The sequence below is a fragment of the Homo sapiens genome, chromosome 8 (assembly GCF_000001405.40).
Source record: "Homo sapiens chromosome 8, GRCh38.p14 Primary Assembly".
Lineage (NCBI taxonomy): Eukaryota > Metazoa > Chordata > Mammalia > Primates > Hominidae > Homo > Homo sapiens.
Window position 1 is genome coordinate 38193412 of NC_000008.11, and position 21682 is coordinate 38215093.

General features: G+C 41.1%; 1 protein-coding gene across 2 annotated transcripts in view, besides 2 other annotated features; it reads left to right on the forward strand.

Annotated features, from left to right (window-relative positions):
* Positions 1-19890, forward strand: part of BAG4 (BAG cochaperone 4) — a 36447-nt gene extending 16557 nt beyond the window's left edge. For both annotated transcript variants that reach the window (NM_004874.4, NM_001204878.2), the window contains 3 exons: positions 14101-14355; positions 15602-15856; positions 16597-19890. In NM_004874.4, the coding sequence (NP_004865.1) occupies positions 14101-14355; positions 15602-15856; positions 16597-17082 (996 nt within the window). In that variant the 3' untranslated portion in view covers positions 17083-19890. The remainder of the gene's footprint in view (positions 1-14100; positions 14356-15601; positions 15857-16596) is intronic.
* Positions 2060-2249: an enhancer, noted in NCBI's record as "active region_27246". NCBI's record gives its function as "activates an Ori minimal core promoter by ATAC-STARR-seq in GM12878 lymphoblastoid cells {active_cell/tissue: GM12878}" and the evidence as "EXISTENCE:reporter gene assay evidence [ECO:0000049][PMID:35858748]".
* Positions 17300-17594: a silencer, noted in NCBI's record as "tiled region #4585; HepG2 Repressive non-DNase unmatched - State 15:Elon". NCBI's record gives its function as "represses a minimal TATA promoter and a strong SV40 promoter by Sharpr-MPRA in HepG2 cells {active_cell/tissue: HepG2}" and the evidence as "EXISTENCE:reporter gene assay evidence [ECO:0000049][PMID:27701403]".
* Positions 19891-21682: the final 1792 nt, after the last annotated feature.

The window sequence follows — 21682 nt, forward strand, 5'->3', positions numbered from 1 at the left end:
CGTCTCAAAACAAAAAACAAACAAAAAAACCCCACGAAAATCTAGCATGCAGATTTGTCAATTTCTGTTTGCCACATTTGTTTCAGATTTTTAAGAAAGAAGTAAACCAAATACAATTGAAGCCCAATGACACTTCTTTTCATTTACTGAAATTTTATTTATTTATTTATTTGAAACAGGGTCATTTTCTGTTGCCCAGGCTGGAGTGCAGTGGTATGATCTCAGCTCACTGCACCCTCCTCCTCACAGGTTCAAGTGATTCTCCTGCCTCAGCCTCCTGAGTAGCTGGGACTACAGGCACACACCACCATACCCAGCTAATTTTTTGATTTTTTTTTTTTTTTTTGAGATGGAGTCTTGCTCTGTCGCCAGGCTGGAGTGCAGTGGCATGATCTTGGCTCATTGCAGCCTCCGCCTCCTGGGTTCAAGTGATTCTCCTGCTTCAGCCTCCCAAGTAGCTGGGACTACAGGCATGTGCCACCACACCTAGCTAATTTTTGTATTTTTAGTAGAGATGGGGTTTCACCATGTTGGCCAGTATGGTCTCAATCTCTTGACCTGGTGATCTGCCTGCCTCGGCCTTTCAAAGTGCTGGGATTATAGGCGTGAGCCACCACGCCCGGCCAGTTTTTGGATTTTTAGTAGAGATGGGGTTTCACCATGTTGGCCAGGCTGGTCTCAAACTCCTGACCTCAGGTGATCCGCCCACCTTGGCCTCCCAAAGTGCTGGGTTTACAAGCATGAGCCATCGTGCTCGGCCTGAAGTTATATTTATTACCCCATTTGTGTTTTTGTGCCTTTACTACTTGCCTGTGTATCCATAAACTTTATATACTTTTATTTTACATGTTTTTAAACTTGAGATGTGTGATTTCATACTAACAAACACACTCCTGCAGCTTGCTTCTTTTGCTCATCGTTGGTTTTCATCTTTCTGTTATATAAATACGAGATAAGAATTTCCTTAGGGTCTGGAATTTTTGGGTTTAGGTGTGTACTTTTTTTTTTTTTTTTTTTTTTTTTGAGATAGAGTCTCACCCTGTCACCCAGGCTGGAGTGCAATAGCGCGATCTCAGCTCATTGCAACCTCCGCCTCTCAGGTTCAAATGATTCTCCGCCTCAGCCTCCCGAGTAGCTGGGATTACAGGTGTCTGCCACCATGCCCGGCTAATTTTTGTATTTTTAATAGAGATGGGGTTTCACCGTGTTGGCCAGGCTGGTCTCGAACTCCTGACCTCGTGGTCCGCCCACCTTGGCCTCCCAAAGTGCTGGGATTACAGGCATGAGCCACCATGCCTGGCCAGGTGTGTACATTTTTATTAGATACAGCCAAATTACTTTTCAAAATGGTTGTACTAACAAAGGAGTAATTGTCATATTTGCATATTTCCATTATATTTTTTTATCTAGCCATATTACTGGGGTGTTTTTTTTTGTTTTTTTTTTTTTTTGTTTTTTTTTTTGGCCGAGTCTCGCTCTGTTGCCCAGGCTGGAGTGCAGTGGCGCGACCTCGGCTCACTGCAAGCTCTGCCTCCCGGGTTCACGCCATTCTGCTGCCTCAGCCTCCCGAGTAGCTGGGACTACAGGCGCCCGCCACCACGCCCAGCTAATTTTTTGTATTTCTAGTAGAGACAGGGTTTCACTGTGTTAGCCAGGATGGTCTTGATCTCCTGACCTCGTGATCCACCCGTCTCGGCCTCCCAAAGTGCTGGGATTACAGGCGTGAGCCACTGCACCTGGCTTTTGTTTGTTTTTTTGAGACAGGGTCTTGCTCTGTAGCCCAGGCTGGAGTATGGTGGCATGATGACAGCTCACTGCATCCTCGACCTCCTGGCTTCAAGTGATCTTCCCACTTCAGCCTCCTGAGTAGCTGGGACCATGGGTGCACATTACTATGCCCAGCTAATTTTTAAAATTTGTTCTGTAGAGTTAGGGTTTCGCCATGTTACCCAAGCTGGTCTCCCAATCCTGGGCTCAAGAGATCCTCCCACTTCAGCCTCCTGAGTAGCTAGGACTAAAAGTGTACATCACCATGCCTTGCTAATTTGTTTGCTTTTTTTGTAGAGACAGGGTCTTGCTGTGTTGCCTAGGCTGGTTTCAAACCCCTAGCCTCAAGCTATCCTCCCAAATTGGCCTCTCAAAGCACTGGGATTACAGGTGTGAGCCCTTGTGCCTGGCCTATAATAATCATGTATATATGAACTTAAGGATGAGGTTGATCAGAGATAATGGAATGTAAAATAAAGATCATGTTAGTACTTACCACAAACTTTCATTTTACTTGTGTCAGCCTCATCCCTGTGACTGAAATTGAGAAGTAGACATTGTTATTGCTAAATGTTACATAGTTGTGGTTTGGCCACATACTATAAAATCCACCCTTCAAAGTGTACAATTCATTTGGTTTTTAGTATATTCACAAAGTTTACCCATTATCACTGTCTAATTCTGGAACACTGTCATCACCCCGAATAGAAACCCTGAACTTGAAATGTCATTACTCCCTCCCCTCAGCTCTTGGCAACCTGTAATCTACTTTTTTATCTCTCAGGATTTTTCTAACCAGACATTTTGTATGGAATCATACAGTATGTGGCATTTTGTTTCTGGCTTCTGTCACTGTGTAATGTTTTCAAACTTCTCCATGTTCTCAGGATATACCAAATTTCATCAATTGATAGATATTTGGGTTGTCTTTCGTTTTTGTCTTTTATAAATGATGCTGCTACAACCTTCATGTACAAATTTTTATGTGGAAATATGTTTTTATTTATCTTGGGTCTATACCTAGAAATGGAATTGCTTGGTCATAGAGTAACCCTATATGTATCAATTTGAGGAACTAGCAAACGGTTTTCCAAAGGGATTGCACCATTTTATAGTCCCATCAGCAATGTATGAGGGCTCTGATTTCTCCACATCCTTACCAATACTTATTTTCCTTTAAAAAAATTATTATAGGCCGGGCGCGGTGGCTCACGCCTGTAATCCCAGCACTTTGGGAGGCCGAGGCAGGCAGATCACGAGGTCAGGAGATTGAGACCATCCTGGCTAACATGGTAAAATCCCATCTCTACTAAAAATGCAAAAAATTAGCCGGGCGTGGTGGCGGGCACCTGTAGTCCCAGCTACTTGGGAGGCTGAGGCAGGAGAATGGCATGAACCCAGGAGGCAGCTTGCAGTGAGCTGAGATTGTGCCACTGCACTGCAGCCTGGGCAACAGAGCGAGACTCTGTCTCAAAAAAAAAAATTATAGCCATCTTAGTGGGTGCAAAGTGGTTTTGATTTGCAGTTCTCTGATGACTAATGATTTGAGCATCTTTTAGTGTGCTTATTAGCCATTTGTATATCTTGTTTGGAGAAATGTCTATTTAGATTCTTTGGGCCTGGTGCGGTGGCTCACACCTGTAATCCCAGCACTTTGGGAGGCCAAGGTGGGCAGATCACTTGAGGTATGGAGTTTGAGACCAGCCTGGCCAACATGGTGAAACCCCTTCACTACTAAAAATACAAAAATTAGCTGGGCGTGGTGGCAGGCGCTTGTAATCCCAGCTACTTGGGAGGCTGAGGCAGGAGAATTGCTTGAACCCAGGAGGCAGAGGTTACAGTGAGCCGAGATGAGATCACGCCATTGCACTCCAGTCTGCGTGACAGAGCAAGACTCTGTCTCAAAAAAGAAAAGATTCCTTGACCATTTTAAAATTGGGTTGTCTTTTTATTGTTGAGTTTTAAGCATTCTTTATACATTCTAGATACAAGTTTCTTATCAAATGTAGTCATTCATTGCTTAATAATGGGGATATTTTCTCAGAAATGCATCAAGAGGCAATTTTGTCATTGTGCAAACATCATAGAGTGTACTTTCACAAGTCTAGATGGTACAGCTTACTATATACCTAGGCTATATGGTATAGCCTATGGCTTCTAGGCTACAAACCTGTACAGCATGTTACTGTACTGAATACTGTAAGCAATTGTAACACCATGGTTAGTACTGGTGTATCTAAACACATCTAAATATAGAAAAGATACAGTAAAAATACAGATAAAAGATAACAAAATATTATATCACACTTGTACAGGGCATTTGCCATGAATGGAACTTGCAGGACTGGAAGTTACTCTGGGTGAGTCAGTGAGTGAGTGGTGAGTGAATGTGAAGGTCTAGGATATTACTGTGCACTATTGTAGGCTTTATAAGCATTGTACACTTAGTTTACCATAAATTTGTATAACAATTCTTTCTTCAATAAATACTGTAACTTTTTTACTTTATAAACTTTATTTTATTTTAAGTTATTTTTTTGAGACAGGGTCTCACTCTGTCCCCCAGACTGGGGTGCAGTGGCGTGATCTCGGCTCTCTGCAACCTCCATCTCCTGGGTTCAAGCGATCCTGCCACCTCAGCCTCCCTAGTAGCTGGGACTACAGGCGTGTGCCACCACACCTGGCTAATTTTTGTGTTTTTAGTAGAGGCAGGGTTTCATCATGTTGGCCAGGCTGGTCTTGAACTCCTGACCTCAGGTGATCTGTCCACCTCAGCCTCCCAAAGTGCCGGGATTATAGGCCTGAGTGAGCCACTGCACCTGGCCTTATAAACTTTTAAATTTTAAAAAGCTTTGACTCTTTTATAGTAATACTTAGCTTAAAATACAAACATACTGTACAGCTGTACAAAAATGTTTCCTTGGGGCCGGGCGCGGTGGCTCACTCCTGTAATCCTAGCAATTTGGGAGGCCAAGGCGGGCAGATCACGAGGTCAGGAAATCGAGACCATCCTGGCTAATATGGTGAAACCCCGTCTCTGCTAAAAATACAAAAAATTAGCCGGGCGAGGTGGCAGTCGCCTGTAATTCCAGCTACTCGGGAGGCTGAGGCAGGAGAATGGTGTGAATCCGGGAGGCGGAGCTTGCAATGAACCGAGATCACGCCACTGCACTCCAGCCTGGGCAACAGAGCGAGACTCCCATCTCAAAAAAAAAAAAAAAAGTTTTCTTTCTTTTTTTTTTTAATTTCTTTATATCCTTATTCTATTAAGCTTTTTCCTGTTTTTAAGGTTTTTTTGTTTTTTGTTTGTTTTTTGTTTTTTTTTTTTGAGATGGAGTTTCACTCTGTCGCCCAGGCTGCAGTGCAGTGGTGCGATCTCGGCTTACTGCGACCTCCGCCTCCCAGGTTCAAGCAATTCTCCTGCCTCAGCCTCCTGAGTAGCTGGGACTACAGGCGCCCACCACCACGCCCGGCTAATTTTTTGTATTTTTAGTGGAGATGGGTTTCACCGTGTTAGCCAGGATGGTCTCGATCTCCCAACCTGGTGATCTGCCCTCCTTGGCCTCCCAAAGTGCTGGGATTAAAGGCGTGAGCCACCATGCGTGGCTGTTTTTGTATTTTTAAAACTGTTTGTGTTAAAAAGGGAGACGCAAACATACATTAGCATAGGCCAACCTAGGGTCAGGATCATCAGTATCACTGTCTTTCACCTCCTCATCTTGGGGCAATAAGACAGGTGGGAACTGTCATCTCCTATGATAAATGCCTGGTTCTGGAATACCTCCCAAAGGACCTCCTTGTGGCTGTTTTCCGGTTAACCTTTAAAAAATGTACAAGTAGAAGGAGTACATGCTAAGATAATGATAACAAATGTCGTATGTAGTAAATACATAAACCAGTAACATAGTCAATTATCATCATCAAGTATTATGTATTACATATAATTGTATGTGTTATATACAACTGGCACACAGCAAGTTTGTTTACACCAGCGTCACCATAAACAGGTGAGTAATGCATTGTGCTATCCATATGACAGCTACACTGTTGCAAGGCAATACAATTATTTGGCTCCATTATAATCCTATGGGACCACTGTTATGTATGCAGTCCACTGCTGACTGAAACATAGTTATGCAGTGCATGACTGTATATGATTTGCAAATAGTTTCTTCCATTCTGTGGGTTGGCTTTTCACACTCTTGATGGTGTCCTTTGAAACACAAAAGCTTTTAATTTTGATCAAGTGCAATTTTTTTGTTTTTTATTTTGTTGCTCCTGCTTTTGATGTCTTATCCAAGAAGACTTTGACTAACCAAAGATCATAAAGATTCACTCCTGTGATTTCTTTTTTTTTTTTTTTGAGGCAGAGTCTCGCTCTGTCGCCCAGGCTGGAGTGCAGTGGCACAATCTTGGCTCACTACAAGCTCCACATCCCAGGTTAAAGTGATTCTCCTGCCTCAGCCTCCCAAGTAGCTGGGAATAAAGGTGCCCGCCACCACACCTGGCTAATTTTTTGTTTATTTAGTAGAGACAGGGTTTCACCATGTTAGTCAGGATGGTCTTGACCTCCTGACCTCGTGGTCCACCTGCCTCAGCTTCCCAAAGTGCTGGGATTACAGACGTGAGCCACTGCGCCCAGCCCGATTTCTTCTCAGAATTTTTTTATAGTTTTAGCTCTCACATTTAGGTCTATGATTCATTTTGAGTTAATTTTTGCAATATGGTGCAAAGTAAGGCCCAAGTTCACTGCTTTACATGTGGATAGTTATGTCTCAGTATCATCTGTTGAAAGACTATGTTTTTTCCACTGAATTATCTTGGTACCCCCTTTTTTTTTTTTTTGAAACAGAGTCTTGTTCTGTCGCCCAGGATGGAGTGTAGTGGTGCAATCTCTGCTCACTGAAACCTCTGCTTCCCAGGTTCAAGTGATTCTTGCCTCAGCCTCCCGAGTAGCTAGGATTACAGGCGGCTGCCACCATGCCGGGCTAATTTTTTTTGTATTGTTAGTAGAGACAGGGTTTTACCATGTTGCACAGGCTGATCTGGATCGCCTGACCTCTAGTGATCCACCTGCCTCGGCCTCCCAAAGTGCTGGAATTACAGGCATGAGCCACCGTGCCCAGCCTGGGTACCCTTCCTAAAAATCATAAATGTAAGGGTTTATTTCCAGACTCTCAATTCTGTCCCATTAATCTATATGTCTTCCTTAAGCCAATACCAAACTGTTTTGATTACTGTGGCTCTGAAGTAAAATTTGAAATCAGGAAGTATGAGTCTCTCCAAAGAGATGGACTCTCTCTCTCTTTTTTCTTTTTCTTCTTCCATATGGTTTCGGCTATTCTGGGTTGCTTACATTTTCATATGAATTTTAGGATCAGCTTTTCAACTTATGTAAAAAAGGCAGCTGAGATTTTCTTTTTTTCTTTTTTTTTTTGAGCTGGAGTTTTGCTCTTGTTGCCTAGGCTGGAGTGCAATGGCACGATCTTGGCTCACAGCAACCTCCACCTCCCGAGTTCAAGCCATTCTCCTGTCTCAGCCTCTGGAGTAGCTGGGATTACAGGCATGCGCCACCACGCCCGGCTAATTTTGTATTTTTAGTACAGATGGGGTTTCTCCATGTTGGTCAGGCTGGTCTCGAACTCCGGACCTCAGGTGATCCGCTTGCCTTGGCCTCCCAAAGTGCTGGGATTACAGGCATGAGCCACCATGCCTGGCCAGGCAGCTGAGATTTTTATTGAGATTGCATCATAGATCAGTTTGGAGAGTAGCATGTGTACTTTTATAGTTAATGTAAGAGGGAGACAAAACTCATAGTCATGAATTATAAGTTAATGTTAATTTTTCTGATTTCACTGATCTTACTGATAAAGATTGCTTTTTCTCATAACATTTTCCCCCTTAGGTAAAAGTATTTATTACATTCATATGTAGGTTCAAAAAAGATTAACTTATAATTTAGTAGTAACTTTTTAAAAGCAACAGTAATAATGTGCAAATGTTTTTAGATACAACATACAAGTTGTTGGATTTAAAATAACCCAAAGGTGTCTAGACATACACCTTTTTGAGGTGAGCACATGTGTATTTTCTGGCGAAACATCACATGGGGATTATACATTTATCATCATCTTTTTTTTGTTTGTTTCTTGAGATAGATAGTCTTGCTCTACCACCCAGTTCATTGTAGTGGCATAATCATAGATCACTGTAACCTTGAACTCCTGGACTTAAGTGATCCTCCTGTCTCAGTGTCCTAGGTACAGGTGCGTGCAACCACACCTGGTTTAATTTTTAAATATTTTGCAGAGATGGGGTCTCATTATGTTGCCTAGGCTGGTCTTGAACTCCTGGGCTCAGGTGATCCTTCTACCTCAGCATCCCAAAGTGTTGGGATTACAGGCGTGAGCCATTGCACTTGGTCTAGCTTCTATCCAAGATAGACTCCTATAGTGGTATATAGATATGACTGGTTTCCTTTTTAAAAAATTAAGCAGTATCATGTCTTTACCTTCCGGCTACCTCCTTGGGTTAGCCTTGCCACATGGTCATTCTTCTGTTTGGTTGGTTTTATAAATCTTAAAAATTCTCATTCAAAAGTAGCTATAATAAGCCAAGAATATGTAATTTCATGCATTTATTCTGAGTGTGGAATTTATATATATATATATATATATATATATATATATATATATATATATATTTTTTTTTTTTTTTTTTTTTTTTTTTTTAAGAAGCTGTTAATGTTGCTAAGGTGTCTGACCAATCTTCCAAGTTGATTAGCCTGCCATGTGCCAGGTGCAGTTTATGTGCTATGCAAGTATTAGGGCAGCATTTGAACTAAAGCCTTCCTCATTTTTCAGAACTTCATTCTTTAACTAATAGTGTGGACTCTTGAGAGGAGCATGGAGGGCGATTCATGGAGTAGGGTGTGAACAGCACGGAAGTTCACAATCTCAGGCTGTATCTCTGGAAGCAGAAGATATTGTCTCACCCAACTGTTAATAAAGTTCGTGAGGTTTTCTCAGTATTATTCAAACTCGGTTGAGTTGCTTCTGCTTTGTTCTTAAGTCCTTCTTTTTCCTTTTCTTTTCTTTCTTTTTTTGAGACCAGGTCTCCCTCTGTCACCCAGGCTGGAGTACAGTGGTATGATATTGGCTTACTGCAACCTCCACCTCCTGGGCTCAAGCGATCCTCCCACTGCAGCCTCCTGAGTAGCTGGGACTACAGGCACATGCCACCATTCCCAGCTAATTTTTGTATTTTTTGTAGAGAGGGGGTTGCCCCCGCTTATCTTAAACTCTTTGAGTTTAAGCAGTCCACCTGCCTTGGCCTTCCAAAGTGCTAGGATTACAGGCATGAGCCACTGTGCTCGGCCCCCTTTTTTTTTTTTTTTCTGTTTCTCAGGCTGGAGTGCAATGGCATGATCACAGCTCACTGCAGCCTCAATCTCCTCTGGCTCAGGTGATCCTCCCACCTTAACTGCTTGAGTGGCTGGGACCTTAGGCATACGCCACTACACCTGGCTAATTTTTGTATTTTTTGTAGAGATGGGGTCTCACTTTGTTGCCCAGGCTGGTCTGGAACTCCTGACCTCAAGCGATCCACCTGCCTTGGTCTCCCAAAGTGCTAGAATTACAAGAATGAGCTACCACGCCTGGCCAAGTCCTTCATTTTTATGACATACTTTAATATGTAACAGAAATCTGTTCTGAAGTCCTAGAAGCATTTTCTTCCTTTTTGGATTCCGTCTTATGACTCTAAATGGTGCAAGGAACTCCTGTATTTTCTTTGCTGTGCTCCAAGTGTCAACCTAAAATAACAACAGAGAGAAGGACTCTTCAAAGAAATGAATCTGTTTGGAAATAAACAGAGAATTACAATTTCAGATGCGCATACCATAGATAATCATCCCCTACATATCTGGAGAAGTTGTAGTAAGGGGAAACTTTTAAAGGGAAAGAGGAGAAGTCCATATAAGCTGTTTTGAGACAAACATCATTGGTCACAGGGGCCTGTTGTAGGAGCTGATGTTACTGGAAACTCATTGCTAAGCGAGTGTTCTTATGAAGATGGCTTATGTGAAACTGCAGTCTTGAGGAATTTTTTTTTTTTCTTTTTTTGGACAGAGTTTCACTCTGTCGCCCAGGCTGGAGTGCCATGGCACGATCTTGGCTCACTGCAAGCTCCGCCTCCCGAGTTCACGCCATTCTCCTGCCTCAGCCTCCTGAGTAGCTGGGACTACAGTCGCCTGCCACCACGCCCAGCTAATTTTTTTGTATTTTTAGTAGAGACAGGGTTTCACCGTGTTAGCCAGGATGGTCTCGATCTCCTGACCTCGTGATCCGCCCACCTTGGCCTCCCAAAGTGCTCAGATTACAGGTGTGAGCCACCGTGCCTGGTTGAGGAATTTTTTGTGATAAGTCCTGTTACAGACATATGTAGGACAAGCAAGATGAGTAGGGCCTACAGGGATTTTTTGTGAGTTTTTAGAAAGCCCTGTGATATAGGCTGGGTGCAGTGGCTCATACCTGTAGTCCAAGCTACTTGGGAGGCTGAGGCAGGAGGATAACTTGAGCCTGGGAGATCTAGGCTGCAGTGAGCTATGATGGTGCCACTGTACTCTAGCCTGGGTGACAGAGTGAGACCCTGTCTCAAAAAAAAAAAAAAAAAAAGTCCTTGTGATAATACTTATCGCAGACATGTGTGCATGAGATCCCCTCCTTCGTGACCTCCCCCTCCATTTTGGGTCTGATGTAAGTGACTCCATCTTGGCATTGGCAACTTTCACACAAGCTGCTTTTCAGACAAAGACTTAAAAACTTTGCCACGTTTCTGAAATAGGATCTTTAGCTCATCCTTAACAAACATCTTTAGCAACTGCAAGGCTGTTATATAATCTGATTCTGTGTTCTTTTGTAAACATGCATGTGACAGCTTTGTGATCTGTCAGGACAGTGGTTATTTGGGAAAAGAAGCAATGAACTCATGAAGGCATCTCAAAACCAGGAAGTAATTCCAGGAATCAAGGAAATTTTCAAGCATCAAAAGTAATGGCTGGCCAGATGTGGTGGCTCACACCTGTAATCCCAGCACTTTGGGAAGCTGAGGCGAGTGGATTGCTTGAGCCCAGGAGTTCGAGATCAGCCTGGGCAACATGGCCAAACCCTGTCTCTACAAAAAATACAAAAATTAGCCAGGCATGGTGGTGCATGCCTGTGGTCCCAGTTACTTAGGATGCTAAGGTGGGAGGATTGCTTGAGCCCGGAGTTTGAGGCTGCAGTGAGCCGTGATTGTGCCACTGCATTCTACCCTGGGTGTCTTGGGGAGAAAAAAAGTAATGGCCAGGCATGGTATAATCCCAGCACTTTGGGAGGCTGAGGTGCCAGGATCACTTCAGCCTAAAAGTTTGAGACTAGCCTGGCAACATAGCGTGACCTCATTTCTATTTAAAGAAAAACAACAACAACGAAAAAAAAAACAAAAACAACGCCTGTGAGAAGGGAAAAAGAAAAAAAATAAACAACAAAAGCCACATAAAAGCAATGAGAATCACACACTAAAGTAACATGAACCCATCTATTGGTTTCAATGGGTTATCAGTACATGGCCGTCGTGTATTTATTCTTGGAGTATTTCCTTGGAGTATTTTGAAGCAATTTCAGATATCATTTTATCACTTATAAATACCTAAGTATGTTTCTTTAAAATATAAGGAAGTTTTAAAAACATAACCACAATGTTTTTAAACATTTTTAATTAAAAATTAAAACTTAAAAGGAAAAAAACAACCTTAAAAATAATTATTTCATATCATTAAATATCTGGTCAGTTCTAACAGTAAAATATTTATTTAGTTAGTTAGCTAGTTGAAGACAGGGTCTTACTGTCACCCAGGCTAGAGAACAGTGGCTTGATTATAGCTCACTGTAACATTGAACTCCTAGGCTCAAACGATCCTCCTGCCTCAGCCTCCTGTGTAGCTAAGGACTATAGCTGTGCCATACCACGCCCAGCTAATTAATTTTTTTTTTTTTTTTTTTTTTTTTTTTTGTAGAGATGAGGTCTTGCTGTTTGCACAGGCTGTTCTCAGACTCCTGGGCTCAAGCAATCCTCCCACCTTGGCTTCCCAAAACGCTGGGATTTTTACAGGCATGAGTCTGTGCGCCTAGCCATAACAATAAAATTTGAAGACTGAATACAATTTTTTCAATGAATAGTCTTTAATCTACTTAAAGATTCCATTGTTATAGGACATTTAGGTAGTTTACAATTTTGTGTGATTGTAAATAATGCTGCGATGAAGAACTTCATGTCTATAACTTTTTCTCTAGTTGAATCATTTCCTTAGGATTTCTAGAAGTTGAATAACAGTACAAAAAGTCACATAATGTTTTATTAAGTCTCCAATTGTGTGTGTGATGTATTACGGAGTTCTTTGTTTATGCCCGAAGACCTTAACAGCCTCTTAGTAGTTTTAACATAGTGGTGGTTCATGGTCTTCTGCTCAGGGAATGCATTGCTGACTGTTTATTATACCTCATCCTGCATGGAATTCTTTGGTCATGGGTATCCTCATACCTAAAGTGGGAAAGATTATATAGTCTTCGAGATAGAGATGAGTATAGGAAAACTGGATTCTGTGTTTTCACTGTTTTTAAAGGGTAAAGTAGAAATTAATAGAACACGTTGAGGTGATCATTTAAATTTAGCATTAAGCTTGAATCTTTTTTTAAAAATTACTTTTTTTTTTTTTTTTAAATAGATGGGGTTTGACTATATTCCTGAGGCTGGTCTGTAACTCCTGAGCTCAAGTGATCCTCCCTCCTAGGCTGGATGCAGTAGCTCATGCCTGTAATCCCAGCACTTTGGGAGGCTGAGGCGGGTGGATATGAGGTCAGGAGTTCGAGACCAGCCTGGCCAAGATGGTGAAATCCCATCTCTACTAAAAGTACAAAAATTATAGCATGCCTGTAATCCCAGCTACTTGGGAGGCTGAGGCAGGAGAATCGCTTGAATCTGGGGGGTGGAGGTTGCAGTGAGCCAAGATCTTGCTACTGCACTCCAGCCTGGGTGACAGAGCAAGACTCCATCTTAAAAAAAAAAAAAAAAGTGATCCTCCCTTCTCAGCCTCCCAAAGTGCTGGGATTACAGGCATGAGCCTGTGCGCCTGCCTAGCTTGAATCTTGTTTGGATTATTAAACTGAGGATTCTGGGTGTGGATAAGAGTCTGAATAGGTTATTTAAAACTACAGTGAGCAATATATGAGGAGTTTGTTGTTGGTATCATTTGGGATGCAGAGTGATGGTGTAATACAAAGAACTGGACTTCAGAGTCAGATCTGGGTTCATGTCATGACCCAGCCATGATAATACTAACAACAGTCATAATACAAATAATTACCATTTATTGAGCATACTATATGCCAGACACTATGCTAAACCTTTTATATATGTCATCTTATTTAATTTTGACAGTAATCCTCAAAGATACGTTTATGATCTTCATTTTCCTGATGGAGAAACTGAAGTTAGGGAAGGTTAAATACAAAGCCTATGGCAGAGCTAGGTCTGTCTCTATAGTCTTTTTAAATAATTTTTTTGTTTTCTTATACTTTCTGAGACAGAGTCTCACTCTGTTGCCCAGGCTGGAGTGCAGTGGTACAACCATGACTCACTGCAGCCTTGACCTCCTGGGCTCAAGCAATCCTCTCACCTCAGCCTCCTGAGTAGCTTGGACTACAGATGTGTGCCATGAGGCCTAGATAATTTTTTTTTTTTTTTTTTTTTTGAGATGAAGTCTTACTCTTGTCCCCCAGGCTGGAGTGCGATGGCACGATCTTGGCTCACTGCAACCTCCGCCTCCTGGGTTCAAGCGATTCTCCTGCGTCAGCCCCCCGAGTAGCTGGGATTACAGGCGCCTGCCACCATGCCCGGTTAATTTTTGTATTTTTAGTAGAGATGGGGTTTCACCATTTTGGCCAGGCTGGTCTAGAACTCCTGACCTCAGGTGACCCACCCGCCTCGGCCTCCCAAAGTGCTAGGATTACAGGCTTGAGCCACTGTGCCTGGCAATGCCTGGCTAATTATTTTATTTTATTTTTGTAGAAACAGGGTCTCACTATGTTGTCCAGGCTGGTCTCAAACTCCTGACCTCAAATGATTCTCCCACCTTGGGCTCCCAAAGTGCTGGGATTACAGGCATGAGCCACTGTGCCTGGCCTGCATTAGTGATTAACATCTTCTCAAAGTTTTCAAGTTTAGGCATTAAGTCAGGGCATTTCAGCTCTTCTACTAATTCATCTTTTTTTCACTCAACTTGGTTTTTTTCAGAGTTTGAATTCTTATACAAATGGAGCGTATGGTCCAACATACCCCCCAGGCCCTGGGGCAAATACTGCCTCATACTCAGGGGCTTATTATGCACCTGGTTATACTCAGACCAGTTACTCCACAGAAGTTCCAAGTACTTACCGTTCATCTGGCAACAGCCCAACTCCAGTCTCTCGTTGGATCTATCCCCAGCAGGACTGTCAGACTGAAGCACCCCCTCTTAGGGGGCAGGTTCCAGGATATCCGCCTTCACAGGTGAGTTGTTTTCTATTGGGAAAAAAATGAATTCAAAGTCTCTGCCTCTTGTAAACAGTGGAAGAGCATCTGTTCATACTAGTGCTGATTTAATAAGACACTTCTAGATTGGGAAGGCTTTTATATTGATGCCTTTCTTATTTGTGGCAGCTATTGCAGTAAATGGACTTTGGCTGAAGGTCATAATCATAAATTTTTATACTGAAAGTAATCTTTAGAGAGTTGCTGCTTGAAAGTTTCCCTATCTTAGCCTTTTTTTTTTTTTTGTGGCGTGATCTTGGCTCACTGCAACCTCTACCTCCTGGGTTCAAGCAATTCTTCTGCCTCAGCCTCCCAAGTAGCTGGGATTACAAGCACGCGCCATCACGCCCAGCTCATTTTTGTATTTTTAGTAGAGATGGGGTTTCACCATGTTGGCCAGGATGGTCTTGATCTCCTGACCTCGTGATCTGCCCCCCTCGGCCTCCCAAAGTGCTGGGATTACAGGCATGAGCCACCGTGCCAGGCAAATCTTAGCCTTTTTTAGCACCCTGTTAGGTTCTTTTTTTTTTTTTTTTTTTTGAGACGGAGTCTCGCTCTGTCGCCCAGGCTGGAGTGCAGTGGCACGGTCTAGGCTCACTGCAAGCTCCACCTCCTGGGTTCATGCCATTCTCCGGCCTCAGCCTCCCGAGTAGCTGGGACTACAAGCGCCCGCCACCGCGCCCAGCTAATTTTTTTTGTATTTTTAGTAGAGATGGGGTTTCACCTTGTTAGCCAGGATGGTCTCGATCTCCTGACCTCGTGATCCGCCCATCTCAGCCTCCCAAAGTGCTGGGATTACAGGCGTGAGCCACCGCGCCTGGCCAGGTTCATGTTTTTTTAATATTCTGTGAATAACTATGTTTATTTCTCTGTTCACTTCAAGAGGAGTTCTAACATGTCTTTATTTGTGCTTCCTTATAGCATATGGGTCCGTTTGTTTATAGTATCTATGGGACAGACTTGGGTTTCATCCATTGAATTTTTAGGCCTTATTCCTTCTGAGTTTTATTGTCATTAAATCTACCCCTGGTATCTTTGGAACCAACTTTTTGAGGCTTGGAGAAATTACTGCAGCTGATTAATTAGATTTACTACAGTTTAGTCCGGTAGCAGCTAATGTATACTCTGTTAAGAAGAGAGGAAGCATCTCAGAATCTGCCTGTAGCAGAATATTTTTATTATAAGTTTTTCACAATGACTGGTATATTTCTTCTTCTCAATCTAGAACCCTGGAATGACCCTGCCCCATTATCCTTATGGAGATGGTAATCGTAGTGTTCCACAATCAGGACCGACTGTACGACCACAAGAAGATGCGTGGGCTTCTCCTGGTGCTTATGGAATGGGTGGCCGTTATCCCTGGCCTTCATCAGCGCCCTCAGCACCACCCGGCAATCTCTACATGACTGAAAGTACTTCACCATGGCCTAGCAGTGGCTCTCCCCAGTCACCCCCTTCACCCCCAGTCCAGCAGCCCAAGGTAGGAGACCTAAATGTTGTTCCTTTAATGTGTGTGTAATTAGGAGAACATAACATGGTTTATATAGTTTCTGTACTGGTTTGTGTTAAATGGGGACTAATTACAAAAAGTTGGTGACTACTTATCTATAGCTTTACCTCAGCTCGGTTTCCTTTTTCTTTTTTTTAATAGACTTTATATTTAGAGAAGATTTAGATTCACATCGTTTTTGTTAAAAGACAGAAAGATACACATTTTCTGTTTGTTGTAATTCTTCTAAACGTTAAATGCAAAGATGCATTTTACTACTTCAAATAATCTATGAACAGAAGACAAAACCAATGTGAAATATCTGTAGCATGAGCTTGTATTTAAACCACAGACTTGAACATTATCACTTGTGGCTGTGTTCCTTTTCAAGACCTTGCTTGAGGTTTTTAACCTTTTAGGGGAAAAACTAATTCTTATTAATTAGGTCACAGGATGGACTATGAGGTGCTCATGGTGATGGACCTGCCACAGGGCAGGTTCCAGCCATTATAACTCAAAAATTCTGTGCCTTTTGTCTGACAGGGCACTCCCTTTTATCTTCTTAGGACTGTGTTTTTTTGCAAATGATTAAGGAGAGGGGTCCAATTTTATTGTTAGGGAATCTTTTCATGTACCTTTCTGGTCAAGTGAAAGATGTGGGCTAACAAATTTGATGTTGATGCATTCCCATTAAAACAGCTCTTTTCCTCTTTTTGCTCTCCCACTCCAAGGATTCTTCATACCCCTATAGCCAATCAGATCAAAGCATGAACCGGCACAACTTTCCTTGCAGTGTCCATCAGTACGAATCCTCGGGGACAGTGAACAATGATGATTCAGATCTTTTGGATTCCCAAGTCCAGTATAGTGCTGAGCCTCAGCTGTATGGTAATGCCACCAGTGACCATCCCAACAATCAAGATCAAAGTAGCAGTCTTCCTGAAGAATGTGTACCTTCAGATGAAAGTACTCCTCCGAGTATTAAAAAAATCATACATGTGCTGGAGAAGGTCCAGTATCTTGAACAAGAAGTAGAAGAATTTGTAGGAAAAAAGACAGACAAAGCATACTGGCTTCTGGAAGAAATGCTAACCAAGGAACTTTTGGAACTGGATTCAGTTGAAACTGGGGGCCAGGACTCTGTACGGCAGGCCAGAAAAGAGGCTGTTTGTAAGATTCAGGCCATACTGGAAAAATTAGAAAAAAAAGGATTATGAAAGGATTTAGAACAAAGTGGAAGCCTGTTACTAACTTGACCAAAGAACACTTGATTTGGTTAATTACCCTCTTTTTGAAATGCCTGTTGATGACAAGAAGCAATACATTCCAGCTTTCCTTTGATTTTATACTTGAAAAACTGGCAAAGGAATGGAAGAATATTTTAGTCATGAGTTGTTTTCAGTTTTCAGACGAATGAATGTAATAGGAAACTATGGAGTTACCAATATTGCCAAGTAGACTCACTCCTTAAAAAATTTATGGATATCTACAAGCTGCTTCTTACCAGCAGGAGGGAAACACACTTCACACAACAGGCTTATCAGAAACCTACCAGATGAAACTGGATATAATCTGAGACAAACAGGATGTGTTTTTTTAAACATCTGGATATCTTGTCACATTTTTGTACATTGTGACTGCTTTCAACATATACTTCATGTGTAATTATAGCTTAGACTTTAGCCTTCTTGGACTTCTGTTTTGTTTTGTTATTTGCAGTTTACAAATATAGTATTATTCTCTACTTCTTGGTACATTTTGTAGTAATATGTTTAATATAATTATTCAAGAGACTATATTGACAGCCAGATAGTATGGCAGTTCTGAAAAAATTTATATCTTTTCACCACTTGAATATACTGCAATGTGTAGTGAGTAAATTGTCTCCCTTTTTCTATAGATCATTAGGTTAGAGTTTTTTTCTTCTTTTTTTTTTTTTTTTTTTTTTACCACTTCTGCTGTTCATGGTAGTAGTGGAAGGTAAATTTGGAAATGGCATTGACATAAAATGAAAATGTTTACGGACACTTTTCTTTTTTGCTTTTTTATTGTATTTGGATAAAGATCCACTTAAAAGTTATCTGTTTTTTCCTGTTTTTTTTTTTTTTCCCCAAAGTGTAGTTATGTTTTCACTATTGCTGCTTCTATAGAGGGCATTGTGATAGAGAGTTACAGATGAAACATTAAATGCCACAGTGAGTAGAAATAATTACTACAAAAAGTAATAAATATGATTACTTGGTAATATCATTCTCCATCTAAAATACTAGTTTCACCTGTGAGCAGATTTCAGCTCAGTTTATAGTTAAAAACAATGAGGGTAAAATGGGATTCATGCTCAGGGAATGAATCAGCCATAGTTAGAGTGGGAAATTATTATTTTCTTCATTTAAAGGTAGATTTTATGTTTATTTCCCTAAATTGCATAAGATAAAATTGTCTGTTTAATAAAAAGACATTTATTACCATTATTAACAGTCATTTTAGAGCCAAATTTAAGAAAAGGATATTGAAAGGGTCTTTATTGGCCTTGTTTGGGTAACTCTATGCTGTTAGATAGAAGAGACTTAGGTAAATAACTTTTTATGTCTGAGGTGAGTACACAATATTGGTTCTTGGAAAAATAGCTGTTTCTTCATAAGATACCCAAGTGATAATTTTTTTTCCCCTAGACTGTCAGGCCTATGAGTAAATACTAAATCTATTAGCTGTCCCCACTCATAAACCAAACCAAACCAATACAAACAGATGAGGAGAGGAAATGTAGTAAAAATACTGGCTGGGTCTTATGATTGGGATGAGTGATTTTATAAGATAATATGGTGATAATTTTATTCTAGGATTTTATTTTTGGCCTAATATAGGAATGTTTAAAAAAGGCTTTTCTATGAAAATTAGAAATTTATACTTGAAATTAAAAGTCTAGAAGGGGGAGGACCTTAAAGCTAAGCTACCAGTAAGACAATGAATAATTCAGAAGAGAACACTATTCTTTTACTGACTGAGTGCCCAAGATGCCAATTTCCATGAAGTCTTGATTTATATATATGTACACATGTTATGCACATACATGTTTGTTTTCTAACAGTTATTTTTTAAGCTTTTGAGATAATTTTAGACTTACAGAAGAGTTGTAAAAGTAGTAGAGTTCTTGTATACTCTGCACCCACCTTGCCCTTATGTTAACATCTTACGTAACAATAGAACATTTGTCAAAATTAAGAAATTAACCTTGATATAATACTAACTAAAGTAGAAAGTTTAAAAAGTAGAGATTTTAGTCTTTTCACTAATGTCCTTTTACTGTTCCAAGACCCAGCCTTGCATTTAGCTATCATGCCTACGTCCTGTCTTCCAGTCTGTGACAGTGTATCATAACAGGGGATACCTGATGTTGTAATGTATTTCTGGTGTTGTTAACCTTGATCACTATGCTAAGGTGGTGTCTGCTAGGATTCGCTACTGTAAACTTACTGTGTTTTCCTTGTAATTATTGAATATTTGCTGGAGATACCCGGAGACTATGCAAATGTCCCGTTTCTGCTTAAACTTTTGCTCATTTTACTATCCATTGGCAGATCTTGCTTGTGGCAGTTACTACTGTGGTGTTCTAATGGTGATTTTCTATTTCTCTCAATCCTTCTACATTTATTATTGGAATTCTTCTGTAAGGAAGAGTTGTCAGTTCTGGATTTATATTTTTAACTATAATAAGATATTCAGGATAAGTATAGATTTAGAACTTAAAGATGTTAAATCATGTTAAAATTATTCCAAATACCAATATCAAAGAAAACTAAGTTGGTAATCTATCTCAGAAAATATATGAACTTAAGAAGGAAAATAGTATTTATGATTTGTAGAATTGGTTCAACTTTTGACTTAATACTGACTTTGGACTGAATTCAAAGTTTTCTTGAAATTTCACATCTGGACTTTTTAAAGTGTCTACATTTATATTACTTTGGGGATCATTTTGTCAAAGTCTTGAATAAAGTTACCCAGTCCTGGCATGATAAACACAACTATGTTTTTTTTTTTTTATAATAACCCTCTGTTGTTCCAAGTATGAATGCCAATGAAACTGTTTAAACAAATAAGCCCTAATGAAGTATACAGGGGTTGGATTATATGTGTCTCCACATGTTGGTGCAGAATTCTTTTAAATGCTTTTAAAAATGGGGTTCTGAAAACAGTTTTTCAGTTGGTTAATGTAAATAATACCATTAAAGCTAGGCAGGTTAAAAAAATTTTGAAGAATGTAGATTAAATAGGCATAAAAAAGTTTTTGGGGGATGGATAGTTGATGGAGCTTTTCTTTTACAACTTTACTTTTTTTTACTTATTTTTTTAAAAAAGTAAGGAGTTTACCTCAATTCGTAGAAGTTACGAGTTTAAAAAGTCAGTTCTATGAAAGGCAGCATTCTCCTGATCCCACCCCCATTTCTCCTTCTCTAAAGGCAACCACTTTCAACTGAGTTTTTCTTTTGTTAATCAAAAAATTTTGTTTTTAGAGACAAGAGTCTTGCTATGCTGGTCTTAAATTCCTGGGCTCAAGTGATCCTTCTGCCTCAGCCTCCTGGGTAGCTGCGACTACAGGCATGGACCACCTCAACCAGCTTCAACTGAGTTTTTATGTTTTTTTTGAGACGGAGTCTTGCTCTGTCGCCCAGGTGGGAGTGCAATGGCGCGATCTCGGCTCACTGCAACCTCCACTTCCCAGGTTCAAGCCATTCTCCTGCCTCAGCCTCCTGAGTAGCTGGGATTGCAGACATGTACCACCACGTCCAGCTAATTTTTGTATTTTTAGTAGAGGCGGGGTTTCACCATGTTGGCCAGGCTGGTCTCGAACTCCTGACCTCAGGTGATCTGCCCACCTTGGCCTCCCAAAGTGCTGGAATTACAGGTGTGAGCCACTGTGCCTGGCCAGGTTTCCAGGTTTCTCTCTCTCTCTCTTTCTCTCTCTCTCTCTCTCTCTCTCTCTCTCTCTCTCTCTATATATATATATATATGTTTTCTTTACTTTTTTTTTTTTTGAGACAGAGTCTTGCTCTGTCACCCAGGATGGAGTGCAGTGGCATGATCTCGGCTCACTACTGCCTGAAATTCCTGGGCCCAAGGGATCCTCCCGCCTCAGCCTCCCCAGTAGCTGGGAGGCATGCATTATGGCACCTGGCTAATTTTGTAATTTTTTGTAGAGATGGAGTCTTGCCATGTTACCCAAGCTAGTCTCAAATGCCTGGCTGGGCTCAAGTGATCCTCCCTCCTTGGCTTCCCAAGTGCTGGGATTACAGATGTGAGCTACCACACCTGTCCTCAATATACTTATTTGGTAGTTTCATTGTACGTTATCCTGACTATGTAAATGCTAAGGAGAGTTTAGCTATATAGTAACCTGATTACTTTTCCTTTCCTAACAACTTGTTTTCCCTGGAATTAATCATCTGTCATATTTGTTTTGTTTGCTTATCTACCTAAGACTGATTTGACCTTCTCTCAGTCGTCTAAGTCTCTCAAGATGCTCAGACAAGGCCCGGCATGGTGGCTAATGCCTGTATGCCCAGCACTTTGGAAGGCCAAGGCGGGAGGATTGCTTGAGCCCAGGAGTTCAAGACCAGCCTGGGCAACATAGTGAGACCTCGTCTCTATTTAAAAAAAAAATTAAAAAATTAAGATAAATACAAAATGATTAAAAATTATTAATATTGGCTGGGCGCGGTGGCTCACACCTGTCATCCTACTGCTTTGAGAGGCTGAGGTGGGTAGACAACTTGAGGTCAGGAGATCCTCCTGGCCAATATGGCAAAACCCCATCTC